The sequence below is a fragment of the Homo sapiens genome, chromosome 10 (genome assembly GCF_000001405.40).
Source record: "Homo sapiens chromosome 10, GRCh38.p14 Primary Assembly".
Classification (NCBI taxonomy): domain Eukaryota; kingdom Metazoa; phylum Chordata; class Mammalia; order Primates; family Hominidae; genus Homo; species Homo sapiens.
The window spans coordinates 35,654,747-35,679,601 of NC_000010.11; the positions used below are offsets into that span (position 1 = coordinate 35,654,747).

General features: G+C 40.1%; 1 long non-coding RNA gene across 1 annotated transcript, besides 2 other annotated features; it reads left to right on the forward strand.

Moving 5' to 3' along the window:
* Window positions 1–2,406: 2,406 nt before the first annotated feature.
* Window positions 2,407–11,375, forward strand: LOC124902411 (uncharacterized). The gene is made up of 2 exons (XR_007062114.1): window positions 2,407–2,567; window positions 3,186–11,375. It is a non-coding gene; the product is annotated as an uncharacterized LOC124902411 (long non-coding RNA).
* Window positions 9,274–9,464: a silencer, noted in NCBI's record as "fragment chr10:35952948-35953138 (GRCh37/hg19 assembly coordinates)". NCBI's record gives its function as "represses an EF-1alpha promoter that drives an FKBP-Casp9 reporter gene in an ReSE screen in HepG2 liver carcinoma cells {active_cell/tissue: HepG2}" and the evidence as "EXISTENCE:reporter gene assay evidence [ECO:0000049][PMID:32094911]".
* Window positions 14,383–14,882: an enhancer, noted in NCBI's record as "H3K4me1 hESC enhancer chr10:35958057-35958556 (GRCh37/hg19 assembly coordinates)". NCBI's record gives its function as "activates a minimal SCP1, AML or CMV promoter by ChIP-STARR-seq in naive H9 embryonic stem cells {active_cell/tissue: H9 hESC(naive)}" and the evidence as "EXISTENCE:reporter gene assay evidence [ECO:0000049][PMID:30033119]".

A 24,855-nucleotide genomic window follows, 5' to 3' on the forward strand; every position in this document is an offset into this window, starting at 1 on the left:
GTTTGCTTAATATTGATCTGGTTGAAAATGTTTAACTGATTGTAGTATTCCATTGTAAGAATAAGCCACACTTTATATAATCTACTCTACTACTAATGAATAGTGTGATCACTTCCACATTTTCATGAGTACACTTAGTGTTGAATATTTTTTATTATATACCTATGTAGACATGTTCAGGAGTTTCTTTTCTTTTTTTTTTTTTTTTTTTTGAGACAGAGTCTTACTCTGTCGCCCAAGCAATTCTTCTACCTCAGCCTCCCGAGTAGCTGGGATTACAGGCATGCACTGCCACACCTGACTAATTTTCTCTATTTTTAATAGAGATGGGGTTTCACCATGTTGGCCAGGCTGGTCTCAAACTCCTAACCTCAGGTGATCCACCTGCCTCGGCCTCCCAAAGTGCTGGGATTATAGGCGTGAGCCACCGCGCCCAGCCCAGGAGTTTCTTGAAAGTAAATATAGATTGGTGCAAACGTAATTGCAGTATTTCTATGTCCACAGAAAATGTGTAGGGGTTTCTGATTTGTCACACCTTCACAAACACTTAGGAGATTAGACTCTCTCTCCCAATCTGATGAGTTATGAAGGAAGTGCATTGTTTTCATCTGTGTTTCTAATTACTAATAACAATAAACACATTTTTATATGATTTTTGACCAGTTATCTTTTATATCAGTTACCTCTTCTTATCCTTTGTCCATTTTTTTTTTCTCCTTTTGCTTCTTTTGTTTCGATTTGGGAAGGTCCTAAAAATATCTTGGATATTCATCCATTTGCTTTGGAAATGTCTTCTCGGCCAGGCGCGGTAGCTCATTCCTGTAATCCCAGCACTTTGGGAGGCAGAGGCAGGTGGATCACCTGAGGTCAGGAGTTCAAGACCAGCCTGGCCAACATGTTGAAACCTTGTCTCTACTAAAAATACAAAAATTAGTCAGGCATGGTGGCGGCGCAGACCTGTAGTCCCAGCTACTCGGGAGTTTGAGGCAGGAGAATCACTTGAACCCAGGAGGCAAAGGTTGCAGTGAGCCGAGAATTCAACACTGTATTCCAACCTAGATGACAGAGCAAGACTGTCTCAAAATAAATAAATAAATAAATAAAAATAAAAAAATAAAAAAGGAAATGTCTTCTTTAAGTCTGTGACTTATCTTTTGATTTTATTATATCATTAGTAAAAATCTTTAAATTATTAATCTCAAATTTATCAATCTTTTCCTTTATGGGTTTTTTTGGTCTTGTTTATGAAATTATCTCCCAATGTGTTATAATTTTGCATTTTTTTTCTAAAATTTTGAGGCCTTCCTTGTCATATTTAGGTTTTATTCAATATGGCATTTATTTTTGTCATTCATGTGAAATAGGTATCTCATTTTATTTTTTCCCATATTTGTTGCCAATAAAGATAGCAACACAGCTTTGAATAGTCCATTGTTTCTCTTCATTTGTTATGTCACCTCCAGCATATACCCAGATCTTACATGTAGCTATATTTGTTCCCAGGTTCCATTCAGTTACATTGATTTATTTACTATTTCTGAACTAATACTACATATTTTAATGCTAAGGTTTCATAAGTCTTAGTTTCTGGTAGGTTAGGACACCTTGATCTTCCTCTTCCTCCAAGCATAACTATCTCGGTTATTCTTATTCATTTCCCCTCCAGAAATTTCAGGACCACTTTGTCACAAGGTCTGTGCCATCCCTCTTGTATGTATGGTTTTGTTTCCTCATTATTCCTCATTTGTACTATTTGAGTATTTCTCTTAAGTTATCTTGCTGGAAGTTTGTCCATTTTATTATTCTTTTCAAGAAATATGTTTTTGGTTTTATTGAATCTTTGCAATTTTTATAATTTCTTTTTTGAACCATGAATTATTTAGAAGTATTTTTAAATCCTAATTTTTTTGGTCACATTTTGGTCAGAGAACATGTTCTATATGATGTAGATGTTTTTTGAGACTTTTTTGGTGGCTTAGTCCATTATGAATTTTGTAAATGTTCTATGTGTGATTGAAAAAAATGTGACTTTTCTAACTACTGTTTGTTCTATATGTGGCCATTGAATCAATTATTGAGAAACATAAGTTAAAATTCCTTACTAAAATTGTGGACTTCTAGGTTCTTTCCAGTAAATCTACCCTTTGTTGTTGTTGTTTTGAGGCTATGTTGCTAGGTGCATAAAGGTTCAAAATTGTTCTATCTTCCTGGTGAATTGTCCTTTTCATTATAAAGCAATAACCCTTTTTATCCCTAATAATTCCTCCCTTTTACCACTTAAAATGATTTTTTTTGGTAGTTATATGTTTATATTAAGTTTTGCTGTTGTGATTGTTAATATTTTTCAGATATTTCCCCCACTTTTTTACTTTTAATTTTTGTTGTTCTTGTTTTGTTTTGTTTTTAGAGATGGGGTCTTGCTTTGGTACACAGGCTAGAGTGCAGTGATCATGACCATAGCTCACTACAGCCTCAAACTCTTGGGCTCTAGCAATCATCTCTCCTCAGCCTCCCAAAGAGCTGGGACTACAGGCATGCACCGAAGCTTTATTTTCAAAATATAATTTGTAAGTATCTGTATTTTATTGGGGAAGTCTAGTTTCTTTACATTGATTATGATTACCTTATATTGTATTTCATCAAATCTAAGATATCATTGATTTTAAGATGCAGCATCATTTTAGGTATCACTAAGAATGAACATAATGTGTAATTAAACAGTGACATAACACTTACTTTGAACTTTTTAAAAAGGATCTTTTAGAATTAATTAGAAACTTTTAAAAATCATATGGTGGTCTTATGCATACACATAAGTGAAATAAATTAACAAAGTAATTACTAAGAACTGTTAAATTTGGAGTCTAACTCTTCTGAATTTGTTTTTGACTCAAGGTCACCAATGCTTGTGCTTTTCCAGGCTCTCGCACTTTCTGTACTATCAATAATTGGGAAGGCAGCATTTCTCAAAAGAATTGAAAGCCATTAGAATTGACTCTTAAGCTGGCTTTGAAATTATGTAGAACAACCCTCTTTTTGAGTTCAGCTTTGGGAATGTTGTTAAACCTGTTTGATTCATTGCTTTCTCCCTCCTTCCCCACTACTGCTTGGTGCTTAAGAATTAAAATACTGCTTAGCTATTGTTTCCAGGATTTTCTTCTGAGATGCCAACACCCGTTATACAGGTGCTGATGCTGGTGCTTTTGATGTTCGTGTGTACATTGTCCCTGACATCCATGCCACAAGCGCTGCGTGGCTAACAGCAATTTTGATATGCCATCAATTGAAATATACATTCCGATTTCAGAAATGTTAAAATGTGAACAAATGTACACCTCAGAATTGATGAAATATTGTGATACTTTACATATAAAAATATAAAAGGTATTTTTATGCTTTCTTCTGCTCTCCCTTGGACAGACCTTTTTTCTGTACTATTTCTCTTTCCTTTCCTGCCTTTCAGTAGATTGATCAGTTTTCTTTAGTCTCCTTTACTGGACCGGAAGTTACTCATTTTATTTTTATTCTTTTTTCAGTGACCTTTAAATTTTTAACATCCATATTTGACTTGGCAAGTCTAATCAATATCTCTATTGGCCTCTTTAATAATTCACCAAATTGATTGCTTTGACTCTACTCCCTTCTCATCTTATATATTTTTGTTTCCTGATATCATAGTTTCAACTTGTTTTTAATCATCCAAGCTGGTCATCATTATTATTATTGTTCTGATTTTTTTATGATCAGTACTTACTCAGATTTACCCATATGTCTAATAATGTTCTTTCTTAAGTTTACTTTGTATATTTCACTTCATTCTTCTGAGTTCACTTTCCTTCTTCCTGAGATTCATCTTTTAGCCTGAAAATGTCTGTACGATGCCCTCACTCTTAAATGATAGCTTCAATGGATATAGAATTCTTGCAGGAGGGGAGCCGGGGGAGGCTACATGGTTTCTGATACTAGGTGTGTAGCATAGATCAGGTTCTAAACCTTCCCATGTCCTTGGTTTTAAAATAAGCTCATTATTGTTGTCCCCTGATCAGGTTAGGAGGCAGGGATTTTCTCATTCTCTGTTCACTGAGATCGAAGCCTTTCCATGGTTCTGCTTAATTCCACATGTCAGTCCCACTTGACAAGTGTAATGGGCCCACTTCCTTGCCTTCCATCACTGTTCAACCCTCTGCCTTTAGGCCCCTCTTTCTTGCTTGCTGTTGGGGATTTCTCTTTCCATCTTCTGAGTTCAGGTTTGCATTAAATTTTTATCTTGTATTTTTAGGTGTTTTGGGGCAGGAATGTTTCTGCATTATCAGCCCAGTCTGTCTCTATGGGACCCTCTAAGAACACTGCATTTATTTTGCTTTTCTCAATTTATATTTAAAACAGTTAAGACTACCTTAAGAAGTGATTTTTTTTTTCTTTTTTTGAGACAGAGTCTCACTCTGTCACCCAGGCTGGAGTGCAGTGTCGCGATTTCAGCTCACTGCAACCTCTGCCTTCCGGGTTCAAGTAGCTCTCCTGGCTCAGCCTCCCCAGTAGTTGGGATTACTGGTGTGCACCACTACGCCTGGCTAATTTTTGTATTTTTAGTAGAGACGAGGTTTCACCATGTTGGCCAGGCTGGTCTTGAAGTCCTGATCTCAGGTGATCCACCTGCCTTGGCCTCCCAAAGTGCTGGGATTACAGGCATGAGCCACAGCACCTGGCCAAAAAGTGAAATTTCTGTGTTTATTTTTTTCCATTTTCTGGTTTCATGAAACCTTGGCTTTCTGCAAAATATGGTTTTTTAGCCACTGTTTTATTGTATGGCTTTGATATCCATAGTTAAGTGACTGCTCAGCATGAGACCTTAGACCTAGAGTGAATGGAGCAAACTCTAGATGGCAGTCTCCTGGTGAGGTTTGCCAGCCTTTGGCGGATCCATACCTGAGGTATCAGATGTTACCTGCATGGTAGGCACTGGGTGGTCACCCCCTAGGGTAGCTGATATGCCTGCCAATGCACTTCTCCAAGCTGCTCATTTGTGGATTCAGAAAGCTAGAGAAGAAAAGGTGGTGGGGAAGAGCAGATAGTCAGTCATTCTGTAGAAAGAAGAGAGAACATCTTTTTGCATGCTTATTGGCTGGTTGCATTTCTTTTTCTTTTCACATTAGAGGGAATTACCTGATAATTTTTTTATACTGTGATACTGAGGAAATAACTCTCACAGCCTGCTGGTATGAGTATAAAATGGTATAGCCAATTTGACTCTATCTGTCTTAATCAGTTGGCTTCTGTTGTGTAAAAGGCCACTCCAAAACCTAGTAGTTTAGAGACAATAAATTCTTATTATTTCCTACACTTTTGGGAGTTGGCTGGGCAGTTCTTCTGGTCTTTGCTAGCGTAACTGAAGCTAGGTCATATAGGATGGCTTCATTCACCTGTCTGGGAGCATTGGCAGGCCGGTTGGTTTGGGTGGGTCTCAGCTGGGACACCTTGGCTCTGCTCCATGTGGGTTCTCACCATCCAGTAGGCCAGCCCAGGCTTCTGCACACAGAAGCCATTGTCATCTCTCATATTCTGTTTTTTTTGTTTTGTTTTGTTTTGTTTTTTAATGTCTGTGTTAGAGGGTCTCTTGCAGATGTGACATTGTATATTAGATATATACAAGAATGTTTATTTCAGTGTTTTTGTTTGTTCATTTGTTTTACAATACAAGAAAATTGGAAACTATGTGATATGGTTTGGCTCTGTGTCCCCATCCAAATGTCATCTCAAATTGTAATCCCCACATGTCGGGAGAGTGGGCTGGTGGGAGGTGATTGGATCATGGGGGATTTCCCTCATGGTGTTCTCGTGATAGTGAGCGAGTTCTCAGAGGGTCTGATGGTTTAAAAGTGATGAAAGTGATAAAAGGGTCTGATGGTTTAAAAGCTGTTCTTATGACAGTGAGTGAGTTCTCACAGGGTCTGATGGTGTGGCAGTTCCCCTGTCGCTCTCTCTGTCTCTCCTGCTGCCTTGTGAAGACGTGCTTGCTTCCCCTTTCTGCCATGATTGTAAGTTTCCTGAAGCCTCACAGTCATGCTTCCTGTAAAGCCTATGGAACTGTGAGCCAATTAGACTTCTTTTCTTCATAAATTACCCAGTCTCAGGTAGTTCTTTATCACAGGGTAAAAATGAACTAAGACACTATGTGATGTACATTAATTGGATAGAGGTAACAAAAAAATAGTGTGCTATTGAATACTACAAGGCAGTTAAAGAGACTGAAGATTCATGTATATGGTCCCAAAAAGACACATTTTAAACAAAAAAAGCACCAATTGCTGAACTGCACACACCTTATACCTCCCAATACACATGGGAAAACTAAATTCCTACAGATACGTGTAAATTATGTCATGCATATGCAAAACAAAATGTTCAGAAATATACACACCAGATTGATAACAATAGTTACCTTTGTAGAAAGGGTGAGACTAAGTGATGGTTAATAGGAAATTTTGTTTCAATTTTTGGGATATCATTTGTATTTTTTATAAAAATGAGTGCATTTATAAATTGTTTATTTCAAAATGAATGACATTTAATTTTAAACTTACAAAAAGGAAGAATTTGGTATGATTCTCATGCACTTGGTTCCTTGCCTCTGACTCACTGTGTTTGTGGCATTGGATTTATGCATTGAGACCGTCTCTCCTCTGCTTCTTCCTCACAGTCACATGTGCTGCTTAGTTGGAGTGTTTCAAGCCTAGTAAACTAGATCCGAGTAAGGATAAACTTCTGAAATTCACCCTCATAAAAATACAACACTTATCCTAGTCATTATGGTGCCCAAAGAGCCAACTGGCATAATTCCTGTTTGTGTAGTTTCAAGGTCCTCTCTGCAAATGCCATGCAAAATGTTATGGTATCATTTTTCCTAAATAATTTCAACATAGTCTAAAGTTAGTTGGTAATTACTCTTGTGAGACATTCAGAATCTAGTGAATTGTAATTTGGAGGCTGACACAAATACAGATTAAATTTTTGCTATTTCCTGTTCATTCTAGTCAGTATCTTTATCTTTTAAAATTTTGGATGTTTCTACAATGTAGTATATAAGCTAGTCCACTGTCTGCAGGGACTGACTGACCACTTAATTGTTATCTCTCTGTCTATACCAATGTTTTGTGGTTCTGTGGGAAAGGAATGATGCCAGACCAAATACCGAAGTTACCTCTTTGGCATGCCCATATAACTTACAGAAAACAGAGCAAGACATGCTTCTTTTTATTGACCAATGAGAATAGAAACAAACAGAAATAAGGATAACAACTTGTAAACTACTTATTTAAGAAACCACTGAATATTAGTGATAATTATGTGATATTATTTTCTCTTATTGGTTCTTTATAGTTGTGCCTAATGATATGCTTGAATAAAATGTTGATTTGTTGTTTTGGAGGGAAAATTTAAAACTACCATGATAAAATAAGTTTTAACTTTTTACACCTGGCTGGGTGTGGTGGCTCATGCCTGCAGTCCCAGCACTTTGGGAAGCTGAGGCAGGAGGATCAGTTAAGCCCAGGAATTTGAGACCTGCCTGGGCAACATAGTGAGACCCTGTCTATACAAAAAAATAATTAAAAAAACAAATTAGCTGGGTGTGGTGGTGTATTCCTGTGGTCCCAGCTACTCAGGAGACCGAGGCAGGAGGATCCCTGGAGCCCGGGAGGTTGAGGCTGCAGTGAGCCAGGATAGCACCACTACACTGTAGCCTGGGCAACAGAGCAAGAGCCTGTCTCAAAAAAGAAATAAATGAATAAATAAGTAAATAAATAAATAAATAAATAAATAAATAAATAAAACTTTTGAAACTTACGAAAATGTAGTTTTTTCATGAAAGTTTGTCAGCTTGCAGGCTTTAGAATTTTTTTTGCTCTTTTCCTTGTCTGCTCTGTTTTTCTTTTACCATGTGTAATATATGTATAGTTTTACTTTAGAAAGCACACACACACACACACACACACACACCCCATTATTAATCAAATCCCTAAGGGGGAGGACCACTTTCCCACAAGGATAAAACAGGTGTGCACTGTGCTTTTACACTCGTATCATAATCTTACATTTATTTGGAGGGACTACCCATCTCTGAGGAAATGTTTGCCTCTTAGTTTTTTAGTTTGACATCATGGAACCAATGGTAGTAATTGGATATGGGTTTATCTATGAATTTTGAGATCACTAAGTCTTGCCATAGGACTACATAAAATGTGGCTGCAGGCACATGAGTGATCTTCATAACGTTTCTTGATTCAGGGACGTGTGTGGCGGGAAGAGTTCTTATTTAGATTATAATTTTTAGAACATCTTATGTCCTTCATGAGTGTTGGTGTACTAACTGGGTGAAATAATATTGCAACCAATGCAGGTGTAAAATATTTTTTGGTTAACATTTAAGCCTTTCATCCTTGTGGCCAATGGAGTACACCAGGTAAAATAACTGGTTATAAGTCAGAGAAACTATTAAAGCATTTCACAAATTAATTACAAGATGACTATTACTTATGGCAGAAGCTGAAAGCAAAGCAACTGGTCTGACAGAAACCATTCTGGACAAGTAAAATCAGGATAGTATAATTTGTCAGAATGTTTCCCATATGTCAGTGAAACATTAATATATACATAAAACTTTCCTTATCAACAAATTCATTTATTTTTAAATATTTGGATGTTCTAGTGAGACTTCTATAAATATTTAGCTTTGGGTTCACCCAATTTTCCTAAAAGTGAATGAGATTATTCCAAAGCCACATTTTAAATCCAAATAAATGAATACAGTTTAAGGTTTATGTCAACTCTGTCTCTCAAAGTTTCAATTAATAGTGACATGTTAGTTTCTGAGAGAATATTTATTCCAAAAGGGCACAGTTTTTCATTCAGCAAAGATGATTATCTGCTTGATTTTGGTAGATAACAGGTTTTATACTTAGAAGCCTGTTTTATCCAATAATATGGTGTTAAGAGTATAGACTCATACATGTAGGGAATATTGATTCTGCCTTTCTTCTTGGAACTCCTTTCATTATCGTATATACTGTATTATTGACACACTGCTACTTGTGTGTGATGACTTCCAGCTTCCCTAATTCCCCTCACTTCTATTTACATCCTCCTGGGTTGATTTACATGCAGCCCGGCTGTTAATTAGCTTTGGGGAGTGGGGAAGGAGATTTCTCTACATCCCCTTGGTTGCAGCCTCACGAAAAGATGGTCCTCATATCTGGGAAGAGCTTCCTCTTCTGCTTATTACGTCCAGTAAACAGAGCCTGCCCCTTCCGTGACCAACTGCCAAGTTCACAGCTTCCAGTAAGGAATTGAGCAATTTGCCAAATTAATTTTCTTCCCTTCAAGGTAGCTCTCAGTGGGTAATGCCTGTGTAGACACACTCTTAACTGGATGGCTTCTTTAAAACATGCTTTCCAAGATGGACAAAGTTGAAGATGAAAAAGGGTCCTCTTTCCTACCCCTTGGGACTGATTTTTAAAAATCATGTTCTTGTGGTTACATCATGGAAATGTTTTTTAAGATCTTTGGCTAATTTCGAATTCATCCAAAAGAAGATGTCTTGATTTGTTTAGCTTTGAGAGTGTTCATCTGGTCACCTGATTGGAACAAGGAAGACCACAGGTTGTGAAAATGGTCTTTCATGGGCATTTCTGGAGGGATTGGTTTTAGCAGCACCTAAGTGATGTTATCACCCAAGCCCTTTGAGTTTCCTGCCATCTAGAAGGAGTACCCATAGTTGTAGCACAGAGGCATTCCTAGCCAATTCTTTCTCCCCCCAGCAGAAGCCATGGTGACTTTGTCTAGAAGTAAGTGTGGAGGAGGCGAGATTTTGTGTCTACATGAGCTTCCTGCACAGGTGAACACATCCTCGTTGTTGGAATCTCTCCATGGCAGATGCAGGAATTTTTACTTAGACTTCCTTCCACACAGCACATCAATAAATATGGAAATGAAGACTTCAAATCTCACTTCTGATGAAACAATATGCTGTCTAAATTCAGTTAATTGTAAGGTACTTAGTGTTGAAAGACAAAGATATGCTAATCTTATTAAAATATGCCTGGTGAAATTCAGCTGTAAATTCCATTCAGGGACTCCTGCGTTCTACATTGATCCACGTCACAATGTCTGGAAAGAAAACCACCCACCGTGCAGGATGCAGAGTTAGTAAATTAGAAAGGTGAAAAGTTTAATGAAGAGTCTATCTTCTGGAGAAGAAGTACAACAAGGCGGAATGCTTAATATTTTTTTTTGTTTGTTTAGATTAAACCAACTGAGAGCTCTTTACATTGTTTACATTTATGTTACTCAGTAAGAAAAGCTTTTAACATTTTCTCTGTTTCATGTGAATTGAAGTTGTTTTTAACTATATACGAGGGAGGGAAAGAGTCTTCACTAAAGATGCAGCTCAAGCCTGTTTAGACAGACTCAACCAATTTTTAATTTTCTAGGGAGTTAAGGAGTGTGGCATTTTGAATTTGTGGTTAAGGGCCTGACTAGAGATTTTGATACCAAAGGTTTCGATCCTGACATCTTTTGTTCATGTTGCTATGTAACTTTGTGCATTTTTTTTTCCAGGCAGGGTCTCACTCTTTCACCCAGGCTGGAGTGCAGTGGCATGATCATGGCTCACTGCAGCCTCAAACTCTCAGGCTTTGAGCTTCTGAAGACCTTTGTTTCTTTATATGTAATCTGGGGTAAACCCATGTTGTATTTTTAAAAGAACATTTATTTTTATTTATTCTTATAGACTAAAATATCTATTCTTTATAGAATATTTATAAGCATTCATATATAACATTATACAATTTCAATAAATATATATATATTTATTTACACACACACACACCCCCCCCACAATCGTTCATAATCCAGCCACTCAGAGATAACCTCTATTCCATTTATGTTGGACTCCCAGCCACTTAGCCATCCATCCGTGCACATCTGTACATGTGCATGAATCTAACCACCCATTAATGAAGACTAGATTACACAGCACCTATTTTTTTTTATAACCTGGTATATCCAATTAATATATGGTGAGTATCTTCCCACATTATTATATATTCTTCCATATAATGGCAATAATTTTATTTTTGAAAAATCCCCCATAATTTATTGAACCAGGACCATATTGTTAGGCATTTGGTTTGTTCTCTTTTTGTTAGTCATTGTAAACAATGCTGCAGCGAAATCTCTATGTGTTATATCCTTAGGCACATCTGTGATTATTTGCTTAGTCTGATTTAAACTGGTTGTGATAACGTGTTTTAAAGAAGTGTGTATATATCTCATTATGGATTAGTGTTTATGGCACTGTAATAAAGATACTTCCAATACAACTTTGATTTCTGACTATTTTTGTTATTTTAAACATATTTTAGATCTGTTTAAAAATACAAATTATTCAATTATTTAGAGCGATTGCCGGAAAATCTGTTTGACCCCAGAAACTGATGAATCAGTGGTAGAAGTGGAAGCAGTTAGGAGGCCAGGCGCTCTGTAAGAGCCACATGTAGTAATGGCTTAAGTCCCTGGATTTTTTTTCCTGATTACTATTATACTTACTATCTGTATGATTGTAGTTGTTATTTATTTTCTTCAAATTTCAATATCCTCATGAGAAAAATGGGCATATGGTACCTAAGTGAAAGGCAGTTTGGAGGATGCAGTGAGACATTATTTGCATAAGGAACGGCGGGGACAGAGGCTGCAGCGTGGCCAGTGCTTTGCCACATGTGGTCTACAAGGGTTGTCCGGTGTCACTCACTTTCCTGATCCAGTACCAATCGAGCCCTGTCCATTTCACTTCCCAAATCTCTTAGCTCCCTGCTCTTTTCCCACCCATGTCCACTGCTCTGTGTGTTTGACACTTGACCCAGGACATTGTCACCACCTCAGCTTGTAATCAATTGAAGAGCTCTGGTGACTAAAGCCTCCCTGGCCTTCTCCAGAGTCTGCAGCCTAGCCAGGGCAACGCACTGTGGAGGGCCTCTGCTCTGCTTCTCTCCACCTGGATGTGTCCCCCTCCTCTAAAGAGCCCTCCCTCCTAGCCCTGAACTTCGTGTGTTGGCACCTTCCTGTCATTCAGCTCTTAGCATAAAAGTGACCTTCTCAGAAAGGCCTTGCCTGGCTGAACTGCCTATAGATTTACCCTGTTTTAATCTTTATCAATTGGTTGTCAGTTTCCTCATATGTAAAATGGGCGATAATAGAGTGTCTGCCTCATAGGGTTGTTGTAAACATCAAATGAATCAAATATATGCTGAGTACTTAGAAATTGTCTGGGACAGAGACAATGCTATATACATATGCTATAAAAATTATCTCCACGAACACCACAATCATGAACATCACTACCATCATCACTGCCATCACCACCACCATCACCATCACTACCATCCCCACCATCATCACCACCATCACCAACCCTATCACCACCACCACCACCATCACCACCACCACCACCATCATCACCACCATCACCACCACCACCATCTTCACCACCGCCACCACCATCATCACCACCACCACCATCATCACCACCATCACCACCACCACCACCATCATCACCACCATCACCACTACCACCATCATCATCACCATCACTACCATCCCCCACCATCACCACCATCACCATCACCACCACCACCATCATCACCACCATCACTACCACTACCATCATCATCACCACTATCACCATCATCACCACCACCACCATCACCACCATCACCACCATCATCACCACCATCACCACTACCATCATCATCACCATCACTACCACCCCCCACCATCATCACCACCATCACCATCACCACCACCATCACTACCACCCCCCACCATCACCACCACCATCACCATCACACCACCATCACTACCACCCCCATCATCATCACCACCACCATCACCATCACCACCACCATCACTACCACCCCCACCATCATCACCACCATCATCACTAGCACTGCCGCTACCATCACCACTGCACCATCATCATGACTTCCTGGCACTATCATCACAAATGTCACCACCATACTTGGCACATACTAGACACTTAACGAATATTTGCTGAACGTGTGGACTTCAGCTATTTCAATTCCCTCCTCAGTGATGTTCCTGTTCTCCAGTTTGTCTCCCTTCACCCCAACCATTCTCCATAGGCCTACAAACCTGATTGCAGCAATATTTCTTTTTCAGTCCAGTCCCTTTTCCCGTGCATCGAGGCCTGGTCTGAAACACAAAGCCCTGATAACTTGCCCCTCATGCTCATCTCATGCTGGCAACCCCTATGCCCCTGGCTTCAGTGACACACACCTACTTACAGTTTCCAGAACAGATCGGTTGATCTCTCTCCTGGTTCTGTGCCTTTGCTCACAATGTGCCTCCTGTCTGGAATTCATTTCCTTATCTCTCTGATCCGGCTAATTTAAATTTATTTTCCAAACATAAACTCCTGCATCATCTCCTTTTGGAATTGTTTCCCGAGTCCCATTTCTCCCCCACGCATGGGTGAGCAGGGCCGCCTCTATGTTTTGCCGCTGTGATTCCATTCATCCTCTGGTACAGCACTTTCCCTGCTCCATTGCAGCGCAGAGCTTCGCCTCTGGATTGTGAAGGTAGGAATCTTGCCTTGCCCATCTTTCTTATTTCTAGCAGGTGTCACGTTGAGAGGCACATATTTGATGCACAATATGGATTGGTTGAACGAATAAGGGAATGACTGGTCCATTACATTTCTTGTGTGGGTTAGGCACCATTAGGTTAATAAAACGAGGATTACAGTTTGCGGATAAAATGAAATAATCGAAAATCTTATAGTAGGTTTCTGAATATCTTGATAGGTTATCATATTCAAAAATTTGTTAAATTACACACATGTGCATTATAATGCATTGTCTATTCAATTACATACTGAGTACGTTCTGAGAACTGGGGGTGGGCTGGGGCAGAGCTCCTGCGCATATCAGGCCCAGATGTGCACCAGCATCTCAGTCCCATTTTATTCCAGTTGTGTAATCTGACAGTGGCATCACCTCAGCATGACAAGTTCCTGTCCCTTCCTGGCTTGAAGCTTCTCTGGGTGGGATACCTAACCATGGGGACTGGCTCAACACTCAGGCATAAGCAACCAGGAAGTGTGTGCCTGCATGTATATATGTGTGTGCATGTGTGTATACATGTGCATGCCTGCATGTGTGTATGCGTGTGCATGCATGTGTACGTGGGTGCATGCCTGCAAGTGTGCATATGCATGTGTGTGCACGCATACGTGCATGTGCATATATGCGTATGCATGTGTGTATGTGCGTGTGTGTGCATGTGTGTAGGGGGAATGTGTGTGTATGCATGTGTATGTGCGTGTATGCATGTGCATGTGGGTGCATGTGTGCATGTGTGTGCGTGTGCGTGCGTGTGTGTAGGGGGAAGTTTCTGTGGGAGTTGTTGCCTGAGGGGTCCCCCTTGACCAATAGGAGTGAAAGTCAATGAATGCATGTTTTTCCTTTCCCTCCTCCAGGCAGACAGCTCTGACTTGCATCTCAATAACAAATGCAACTCAATAAGACCCCTGAGAGGGTCGTGGCAGGATCCAGCACCGGTTGCCTGCAGCAGTGACCAATTCAATGACACATCCCTACTGCAGCTGTCCCCTGGCCTGTTTCATCCTCCCTCATCCTCCCCTTCTGCACCCTGGGATCACCTCCCAATTAAACTACCTGCACACTAGCCTTTGTCCCTAGCTCTGCTTTCAGGGACATCCAGGCTCACAAGGGTTGCCACAGTTTCAGATTTGAAACTAGCAGGAGGTCTCACGCACTTACATTCCAGAGAACCACAGTTTTCAATAAGAATGAGCTTTTAAAAAAATACAGAACAGAATTTGGTGGTCGTGTGTTTACTTCTCTCTTTTGGAATATCTAGAATTTATGGATGTTTAATAATGCCTGCAGAAAATATAATTATTTTTCTAGCCTCTGAGAACACACTTAGATGCTTTATAGATTTGGTTATCAGCAGGGATCTTGCTGTGGATGTCTTGACTTGGTTTAATTAAATTAACCATGATGTTGACGCTATTATACTTGTGGTGAGTAATATCCTTTTTGGGGGTTGCTGTTTATTTTAGGAAATTGTTATGTTGAATCTGCTGATTGATTCCAATGTAAATCTTTTGATTAAGGAGGGGCTGTTAATTAGTTTATTTGCATTTTTTTAAATAGAGACGGGGTCCTGCTATGTTGCCCAGGCTTGAACTCCTGGCCTCAAGCAATCCTCCCGCCTCAGCCTCTGGAGTAGCTAGGATTACAGGCATGAATCACTTGCACAAAGCAGTTTATTTAAAAATTTCCTTGTATCTATGCATCTAGGTACAGTGACAGTTCTAAGAATTCATCCGCGCAGTGGATTCTTTTATGGCAGGCACTGCACCTGATACTCAGGTTACAATGGAAGCCAGACACGGCCCCTGATCTTAGGGCACTGCCTGGTTGTAGGGAGACCCCCAGGCAATAAGCAAGAGCAAAGCAGTCCTGCAGGTACTGTGCCAGGAGCAAGGAGGAGGGGCTCATTTTGCTGGGGAGTAGAGAGTGGGAGGGGGAGTAATTCAGGAAGGGCTCCCTAGAGAAGGTGACTGTTGGGTCTTGGCTTAAAACTAGATATTGGCAGGGATGGGGAGTAGGGCAATCCAGGGGGGCAGGCATGGGGACAGTGTACACAAAGCCCAGAGGCAAGAAGTGCCTTGGTGCTTGGTCACAATACCAAAGGAGGTGGTGGATGCTGATGAGACTGGGATTTTAGCACACAGGGAATTGGGGCCACTGAAGACATTGGGTAAGAGGGTGGTGACCACACCAGCAAAGCAGCTAATTGAGAGTGGGAGCAGAGGTAGGGACGCAAGGGGAGAGACACAGCCCTGAGTCAAGATGCCTTTGGAAGGAATGGAGAGCAGGGCTTGGGCAGAAGAAATGGTAGTAATTGGGGCCTCCCAATGGGGTGGGCACAGTGAGTCAGACCAGTCTGGTTGGCTCAGTCTTAGGAGAATGGATTGGTCTGCTACTGCCCTAAGGGGCCCTTGCCCTGGGCACAGGTGCTGTGGGGCCCCAGCTTTGCACCTATAAAACATTTCACACATTTTTATACCAATTATGCCCTTGCTCATGTTTAATCACCTGTTCCCAGGTTACCACCCCCAACCATCTATACAACATGTAATGGGGAACTATCAGAAGAGGGGCAAGGAGTGGGCTCACAGATGTGACTTTTGCATTCCATTCAGAACTTCAGAGATGTTTTCCTTAAAGATATCTTCCAGTGATCCTATTCTTTTGGCATTTGGAGCACACAGCATCTGACCTTGGACACAGGGAAGCTTCTAGACTGGGCCCAAGAGATTCAAATGTTACTGTTCTAATGGTTTTTCTTTTCTTTTTTGAGACGGAATCTTGCTCTGTTGCCCAGGCTGGAGTGCAGTGGTGCAATGATAGCTCACTGCAGCCTTGACCTCCTGGGCTCAAGTGATCCTCCCACCTTGGCCTCCTGAATAGTTGGCACTGCAGGGACACACCACCATGCCTAGCTAATTAAAACTTTTTTTTTTTTTTTCTGGGGAGGCTGAGGCGGGCAGGTCATGAGGTCAAGAGATCAAGACCATCCTGGCCAACATGGTGAAACGCTGTTTCTACTAAAAATACAAAAATTAGCCAGGAGTGGTGGCACATGCCTGTAATCTCAGCTACTCAGGAGGCTGAAGCAGGAGAATCGCTTGAACCCAGGAGGTGGAGATTGCAGTTAGTCGAGATTGTGCCACTGCACTCCAGCCTGGCCACAGGTTGAGACTCCGTCTCAAAAAAAAAGTAGGGATGGGATCTTGCTATGTTGCCCAGGCTGGTCTCAAACTCCTGGCCTCAAGCAATCCTCCTGCCTTGGCCTGCCAGAGTGCTGGGATTACAGGCATGAGCCACTGTGCTGGGCCTAGAACTATGTTTATGGCTGCTGAGCTTTGCTTGTCTATGAAGGGCTTGCTTCTCTCTCAAATTTAGCCCAGTTAGGGGACTTTGGAGCCACTGATCACGAGTACACACTTGTACTATATTTGGTGTCTTCTGTTATAATAGCAATGAAGGTGTTTCATGACCCTCTCCACCTTCCCTGAAAGTGGCACTCCTTTATGTGGACATTGGTGCCATGCAGCCACTATGGTAGAAGATGGGATGGAAATAAAAACTTAAACCACTGCCAAAGTAATAATAAATAAATGAGTGTTTGTGTGTATGTGGGGGCGGGGGGTGGATGGAGTAGGGGGTGTAGGCTGTGATGGTTTTGATAGTTGGATTTAGTAGATGACTATAAAGAAAAGAAACGGTGTGATGTAGCCAGAATCTATAAACTCATAGGAGAAAGGGACCAAGGTATGAGAGGCTGAGGATTAAGATAATGTATTTAAAATGCAATGAAGCGTCCAGAGAACACTGTGGAAGTAGCTGGGAGGAGGGTCAGCAGAAGTTGGAGGTAGGGACAGGTGGAAGGAATGTAGTTTGGGGATAACAATATGTGAGAAGACAGCTGACTAGAATTTCTTGCTTTTGGCAAGTGGCAAGGATGGAGATCAGGGTTGGAGTGAGGGCCCAGGAAGGAAGGCACCTGTACAGAGTGAAGTTTCAGGGGCTGGGCACAGTGACTCACACCTGTAATCCCAGCACTTTGGGAGGCCGAGGCAGGTGGATCACCTGAGGTCAGGAGTTTGAGACCAGCCTGGCCAAATGGTGAAACCCCATCTCTACTAAAAACACAAAATATTAGCCAGGTGTGGTGGCACACGCCTGTAATCCCAGCTACTTGGGAGGCTGAGACAGGAGAATCGCTTGAACCCAGGAGGTGAAGGCTGCAGTGAGCTGAGATTGTGCCTCTGCACTCCAGCCCGGGCAACAAGAGTGAGACTCCGTCTCAAAACAAACAAAACAAAAACAGAGTGAGGTTTCAGCATGTCAGAGACCAATTGCAGTCTTTGCTTAGCCTTTCAGTAACACAGCATGGGGAACCTCTTCTAGGGACTTTGGGAGAATTCTCCCCATGGACCATTAGGATCCCAGCTACTTGTGCCCATCACTGCTGTGCTCTCAAGAGAGACAGGCTCAGAGGTATGGAGTGGAGGTGGAGAGGCTAAGATTTGCTTAGAGAAAAATATCTGACTGAGAACTACAATTATTTTCTGAGATCCTTTTAATTTAAAGTTTATCAGCTGGGTGCAGTGGCTCTGGTCTCCAAGCCCCTCAGGGGGCTAAGGTAGGAGGATCACTTGAGGGCGGGAGTTTGAGAACAGCCTGGGCAACATAGTGAGACCCCGTTTCTATAAAAAATTACAAAAATAGCCAGGCATGGTGGCACATGCCTGTATTCCCAACTACTCAGGAAGCTGAGGTGGGAGGATCTCTTGAGCCCAGGAATTTGAGGCTTCAGTGAACTATAATTATACCACTGCACTACAGCCTGGGCAACATAGCAAGATCCTGCCTCTAAGAAAAAGTTTATCAACACTTATCAAGTATTGTGATAAGTCTAGGCATATAAGAGACTGTCCTTGAGCTCACAATATACATTATTTTAATAGTCTCTCTATCTTCTTTCATGGAAAGATTGTGCCAGAGTTGATTACTCTACCAGTGATTGCAGATTTCCTATTACTTGTAAAATGGAAGTTGAGATGTAAAGCAATAATGTGGGTATTTCAGGTAGAAAGATTTTATAATCTAATTAGAAATAGATGAGTAACAGATAGAATAGGCTGATCACTAGAGTTTGACTAAGAAGACCAGGGTTTGAAACCAGCTCCAGTCTTTCCTCGCTGTATGATGTAGGGCTTATTCAGTACTTTGTCTCTGCCTCAATTACTCACTTACTACAAAATGGGACTACAAATCATACCAATTTGTAAAGGGCATTAAATAATGTAGGGACTATGGGCATGTGCCTGGCAAATAATAACAATACAAAACAGCTTTTTCCTTCTTTTGTTTTTCCTGGCATTATTCAGTTCTGTTAAATATCATCTTCACTTTTTACATGCAAAGAGATAGTGCTCAGAAAATGTTTTTAGTGTGAACATAGACTATCTTCAAATGTAATGATTTACATATATAAAAATTTACAGTGACAGTCCCTTTAATCTCAATGCTTTTTTTTTCAATCGGCAGAAATGTAAACAGACATTTTCTGGAGTACAGGAGCCATGGAGAGAGGCTTGAACTCCCCCTGATGAAATAGAACAAGTAAAGATTCATTCCAAACTCATATTTTTGTCTCACACTTAGCCAGTTACTCTTCAGTAGAAATGAGAGATAGCTTGTCTTTAACAGTCTCATACTTGGCTTAATGAACAAGAGTCATGATTTCTAAATCAAGGTTTTAACTTCTTCTTGAAAACTTTTCGTAGAAAAAAATATGAGAAGAATGTTGCTATTCAAGAAGTTTCTAAACACAACCAGCCATTTTTTTAAAAAGTAGCAGTTTCGTTAAAAAGAGAACAGCTTGCATTTTCAGAAGTTTGGATTTAATATGCCTAGCTGTAGCTTTTTTTCCCTTCATTTATACTGCTCAGTGTTCTTGGAGTTTCTTGGCTTTGTGGTTTGGTGTTTGACATTAATTTGGGGGGAATTCTCAGTCACTGTTGCTGAAAATATTGTTTCCAGTTCTATCTCTGTTTTTTCTCCTTCTGGGATGCCCTTGTGTGTGTATGTTATACCTTTTGTAGTTATTCCAGAGTTTTTGGATACAGTGTCCTGGGTTTTTTCCCCCAACTTTTTTTCCTCTGTGTTTTTCTGTTTTGGATGTTTCTAGTATCATATCCTCATGCTGAGAGATTCTTTTCTCATCTGTGTTTAATCTACAGCCCATCAAAGGCATTCTTCATTTCTGTTGTAGTGTTTTTGATCTCTAGCACTTCTTTTTGATTCTTAGAATTTCTATCTCTCTGCTCCCATTACCCATCTACTCTTGCATGTTGTCTGTTTTTGGAAGCCTTTATTATATTAGAGTTTAACAAATTTCCTGCTCTGATAATTCCATTGTCCCTATCTGACTCAGGTAGAGATGGTTTTTAAAATCTCTTCAAACTATGTATCTTGTCTTTTTGTATGCCTTGTAAATTTTTGTTGAAAGGCAGACATTATTTACTGGCTAAAAGGGACTATGGTAAACAGATAAGTAATGTGATGGTAAGGTGTGGGTCAAGGGGAAGTCTTCTATAGTTCTACAGGTTTCAGTTTTGGTCAACCTGTACCACTATGCTGTAATCTTCACCAGTGGTTTTCAACAGCTCCCTTAGCAGGGACAGGATGGCAAGAGGCTGCTGGAGTTGGGTGTTTCTTTTTTCCAAGTTAGGTTTGGCTCTGATAATACTCTAGCAAGTTAGGTGTTGGTAAAATAGTTTCTCCTGAGGGCAGAGCAAGCCTTTTCCAGGATAACAGAAAGCTCTGGCATATTTTGAAATTATTCCTGTTCCCCTCTCCTTGCTGGAAACAGAAGATTTTTTTTTCCTGGTATTTACTGTGAGGATGTGGTAGAGGTTCTGGAGGTAAAACTCATAGGAGATTCTCCATACAATTGGGTCCCCCTAGAGTTTTTGTTTTGTTTTTGTGTTTTTTTAAGAGACAAGGTCTTAAGGCTGGACTACAGGGGTGCAATCATGGCTTATTGCAGCCGCCTCAATCTCCTGTGCTCAAGCAATCCTCCTGCCTCAGCCTCCTGAGTAGCTGAGACTACAGGTGCACAGTATCATGCCCAGCTAATTATTTAAAAAAAATTTTAGCTGAGATGAGGTCTTACTATGTTGCTAGGCTGGTCTTGAACTCCTGGCCTCAAGTGATCCACCCTCCTTGGCCTCCCAAGGTGCTGGGATTACAGGCGTGAAACAGCGCATCCAGCCTCCCTGGAGTTTTTATTTTTCAGTCTTGTCCAAATTGAGTCTTCAGCAATTCATCAATCACAGTTGAGGTTTTCCTACCCTCACACTTGTTCCCATGGAAGTTTGTGCTCATGGGTTTCTCCGCTGGTGATGGAATTCTCTTTATCTGCCTTTCTGACCCTCCAGTTCTGGGGGCTATATTTTGCCCTATGACTTCCCTTTGCCGAGAACCTAAGAAAGGTTGATTTTCAGTTTCCTCAGCTTTTTCCTTGTTGTTAGAGCAGAGTGGAGACTTCTCAGCTTCTTCCATTGCCAGACCAGAAGTGGGAAGACTCCCCTATGATTTCATTCTTGCAGAGTTTATTTTAAAAAGCAGCCAACTCACATTGTGAACATAGCCTTATATAAGAACAAATGTACAAAATATAACCCTGCATGAAAATACACATTGTGCTGAGGTGGGGAGAAAGCCAAGTGATTCTTTCAAAACCATGTGACAACAGCCCTTAAAACTGACATTTGATTCCATTGTGGGGCATTAAACTAAGTATAGATTTGCTTATATATGACATAAGCATCCTGATTTTATATATTTGTAGCTGAAAGAGCTTTGGTGAGTGACATGTCCATGTATTGATATTTACATGACCTTTGAAATTTATTTCAAATATAAAATGGGCTCACTATAGACTTTTGAAAATATAAAAACACATGTGCTGCTGAAATACTTTAAAATCTGATGAGTATGTTACCTACAAAGAATCTTACTACTTTAAGAGTAATTAATGTTAATTTAGAAATTCTGAAATTATTTCCATCTTCTTTGGGTATGGTTATAAGTCTTTTCCTGAACATTTTTTGAACATGAAATATGATGGAATTAGCTAATGATAGATGTGAAAATTAACTGATTAAAACCTGGAGAGTTTGAGCAGGTACCTGACTGGTTCATGTGGGTATGTCTGTAATGGTATTTGCTTTGTTGCTCAGGAACAAAAAAATTTGTATATTCTCAAGCAGTAGAATGGCTGATGTTGGCTGGGAAGGAATTAAAGAGTTAAAGTGGCTGGGCGCAGTGGCTCATGCCTGTAATCCCAGCACTTTGGGAGGCCAAGGAGGGCGGATCACCTGAGGTCAGGAGTTCAAGACCAGCCTGACCAACATGGTGAAACCCTGCCTCTACTAAAAATACAAAAATTAGCTGGGCATGGTGGCACACACCTGTAATCCCAGCTACTTGGGAGGCTGAGGCAGGAGAATTGCTTGAACCTGGGAGGAGGCGGTTGCAGTGAGCCAAGATCATGCCATTGCACTTCAGCCTGGGTGACAGAGCAAGACTCTGTCTCAAAAAAAAAAAAAACCGTTAAACCATACTCTTTATATATATATATATGCTTGTTATTAAAAAAATTCAAAAGGACACAGAAATGTGTAGCATAGAAATTAATAGGTTCATGTATCCTTTTCTGACTTCTGCCATTCCTTCATGACAGCTATCTTTAACTTATGTATATTCTTCCAGATTTTCTCATGTATGCTGTAATAGTTATAATTATTACTGATGCATATTAGTACATCATGAATATTATTCTGGCTCTAACTTTTTAACTTATGATGGCTTGTACTTTTTTGGGTTAGTCTATATAGATAATAAGCTCATTTAAAATATACTGCCTATTATTTCATTGTTTATTTTACCAATTTACCATAGATTATGTTACCAATTGCTTACGGTTTAATATGTGTTGTTTCTAATTTTTTTCACTGTTAGAAACAATGCTGAAAAGAATATATTTGTGCACTCAGAGAATGTTTCCTTAGGAAAAATTTTGTAAGCAGAATAGCTGATTTAAAGAATATGCATGTTTTCAATTGTAATAACTAGTGAGAAATTACTCTCTGAAAGGCTTGAACCAATTTAAACTTCTCCTTACCTATTTGTGGGCCAACTCTAGTTATTGTCTATCTTTGTGAACCAATTCGATGAGTTAAAAAAATCTTATTTTTAAGCTTTATATATTAGAATTATAACAATATATATACATAATATAACATTAATGAGGTTAAGGATTTTTTGAGATGCTTGTTTTCATTAAAACACAATATTTAAATGAATGCAATTTCTAGTTAAAGTCCTTTACTGTCTTGATAGTTTAAACATAATTTTATAGTTAACCCATTTTTTCCTTAATAAAAGTTTAAATAAGTTAATTGACCTTTAAAATTAACTAGATAATTTTCTCCCATTTTGTAGGTTGCCTGTTCACTCTGATGGTAGTTTATTTTGCTGTGCAGAAGCTCTTTAGTTTAATTAGATCCCATTTGTCAATTTTGGCTTTTGTTGCCATTGCTTTTGGTGTTTTAGACATGAAGTCCTTGCCCATGCCTATGTCCTGAATGGTATTGCCTAGGTTTTCTTCTAGGGTTTTTATGGTTTTAGGTCTAATGTTTAAGTCTTTAATCCATCTTGAATTGATTTTTGTATAAGGTGTAAGGAAGGGATCCAGTTTCAGCTTTCTACATATGGCTAGCCAGTTTTCCCAGCACCATTTATTAAATAGGGAATCCTTTCCCCATTGCTTGTTTTTGTCAGGTTTGTCAAAGATCAGATAGTTGTAGATATGCGGCATTATTTCTGAGGGCTCTGTTCTGTTCCATTGATCTATATCTCTGTTTTGGTACCAGTACCATGCTGTTTTGTTTACTGTAGACTGGTAGTATAGTTTGAAGTCAGGTAGCATGATGCCTCCAGCTTTGTTCTTTTGGCTTAGGATTGACTTGGCGATGCGGGCTCTTTTTTGGTTCCGTATGAACTTTAAAGTAGTTTTTTCCAATTCTGTGAAGAAAGTCATTGGTAGCTTGATGGGGATGGCATTGAATCTATAAATTACCTTGGGCAGTATGGCCATTTTCACAATATTGATTCTTCCAACCCATTAGCATGGAATGTTCTTCCATTTGTTTGTATCCTCTTTTATTTCATTGAGCAGTGGTTTGTAGTTCTCCTTGAAGAGGTCCTTCACATCCCTTGTAAGTTGGATTCCTAGGTATTTTATTCTCTTTGAAGCAATTATGAATGGGAGTTCACTCATGATTTGGCTCTCTGTTTGTCTGTTATTGGTGTATAAGAATGCTTGTGATTTTTGTACATTGATTTTGTATCCTGAGACTTTGCTGAAGTTGCTTATCAGCTTAAGGAGATTTTGGGCTGAGACAATGGGGTTTTCTACATATACAATCATGTCATCTGCAAACAGGGACAATTTTACTTCCTCTTTTCCTAATTGAATACCCTTTATTTCCTTCTCCTGCCTAATTGCCCTGGCCAGAACTTCCAACACTATATTGAATAAGAGTGGTGAGAGATGGGAGAAAATTTTCGCAACCTACTCATCTGACAAAGGGCTAATATCCAGAATCTACAATGAACTCAAACAAATTTACAAGAAAAAAACAAACAACTCCATCAAAAAGTGGGTGAAGGATATGAACAGACACTTCTCAAAAGAAGACATTTATGCAGCCAAAAAACACATGAAAAAATGCTCATCATCACTGGCCATCAGAGAAATGCAAATCAAAACCACAATGAGATACCATCTCACACCAGTTAGAATGGCAATCATTAAAAAGTCAGGAAACGGCCGGGCGCGGTGGCTCACGCCTGTAATCCCAGCACTTTGGGAGGCCGAGGCGGGTGGATCATGAGGTCAGGAGATCGAGACCATCCTGGCTAACAGGGTGAAACCCCGTCTCTACTAAAAATACAAAAAATTAGCCGGGCGCGGTGGCGGGCGCCTGTAGTCCCAGCTACTCGGGAGGCTGAGGCAGGAGAATGGCGTGAACCCGGGAGGCGGAGCTTGCAGTGAGCCGAGATTGCGCCACTGCAGTCCGCAGTCCGGCCTGGGCAACAGAGCGAGACTCCA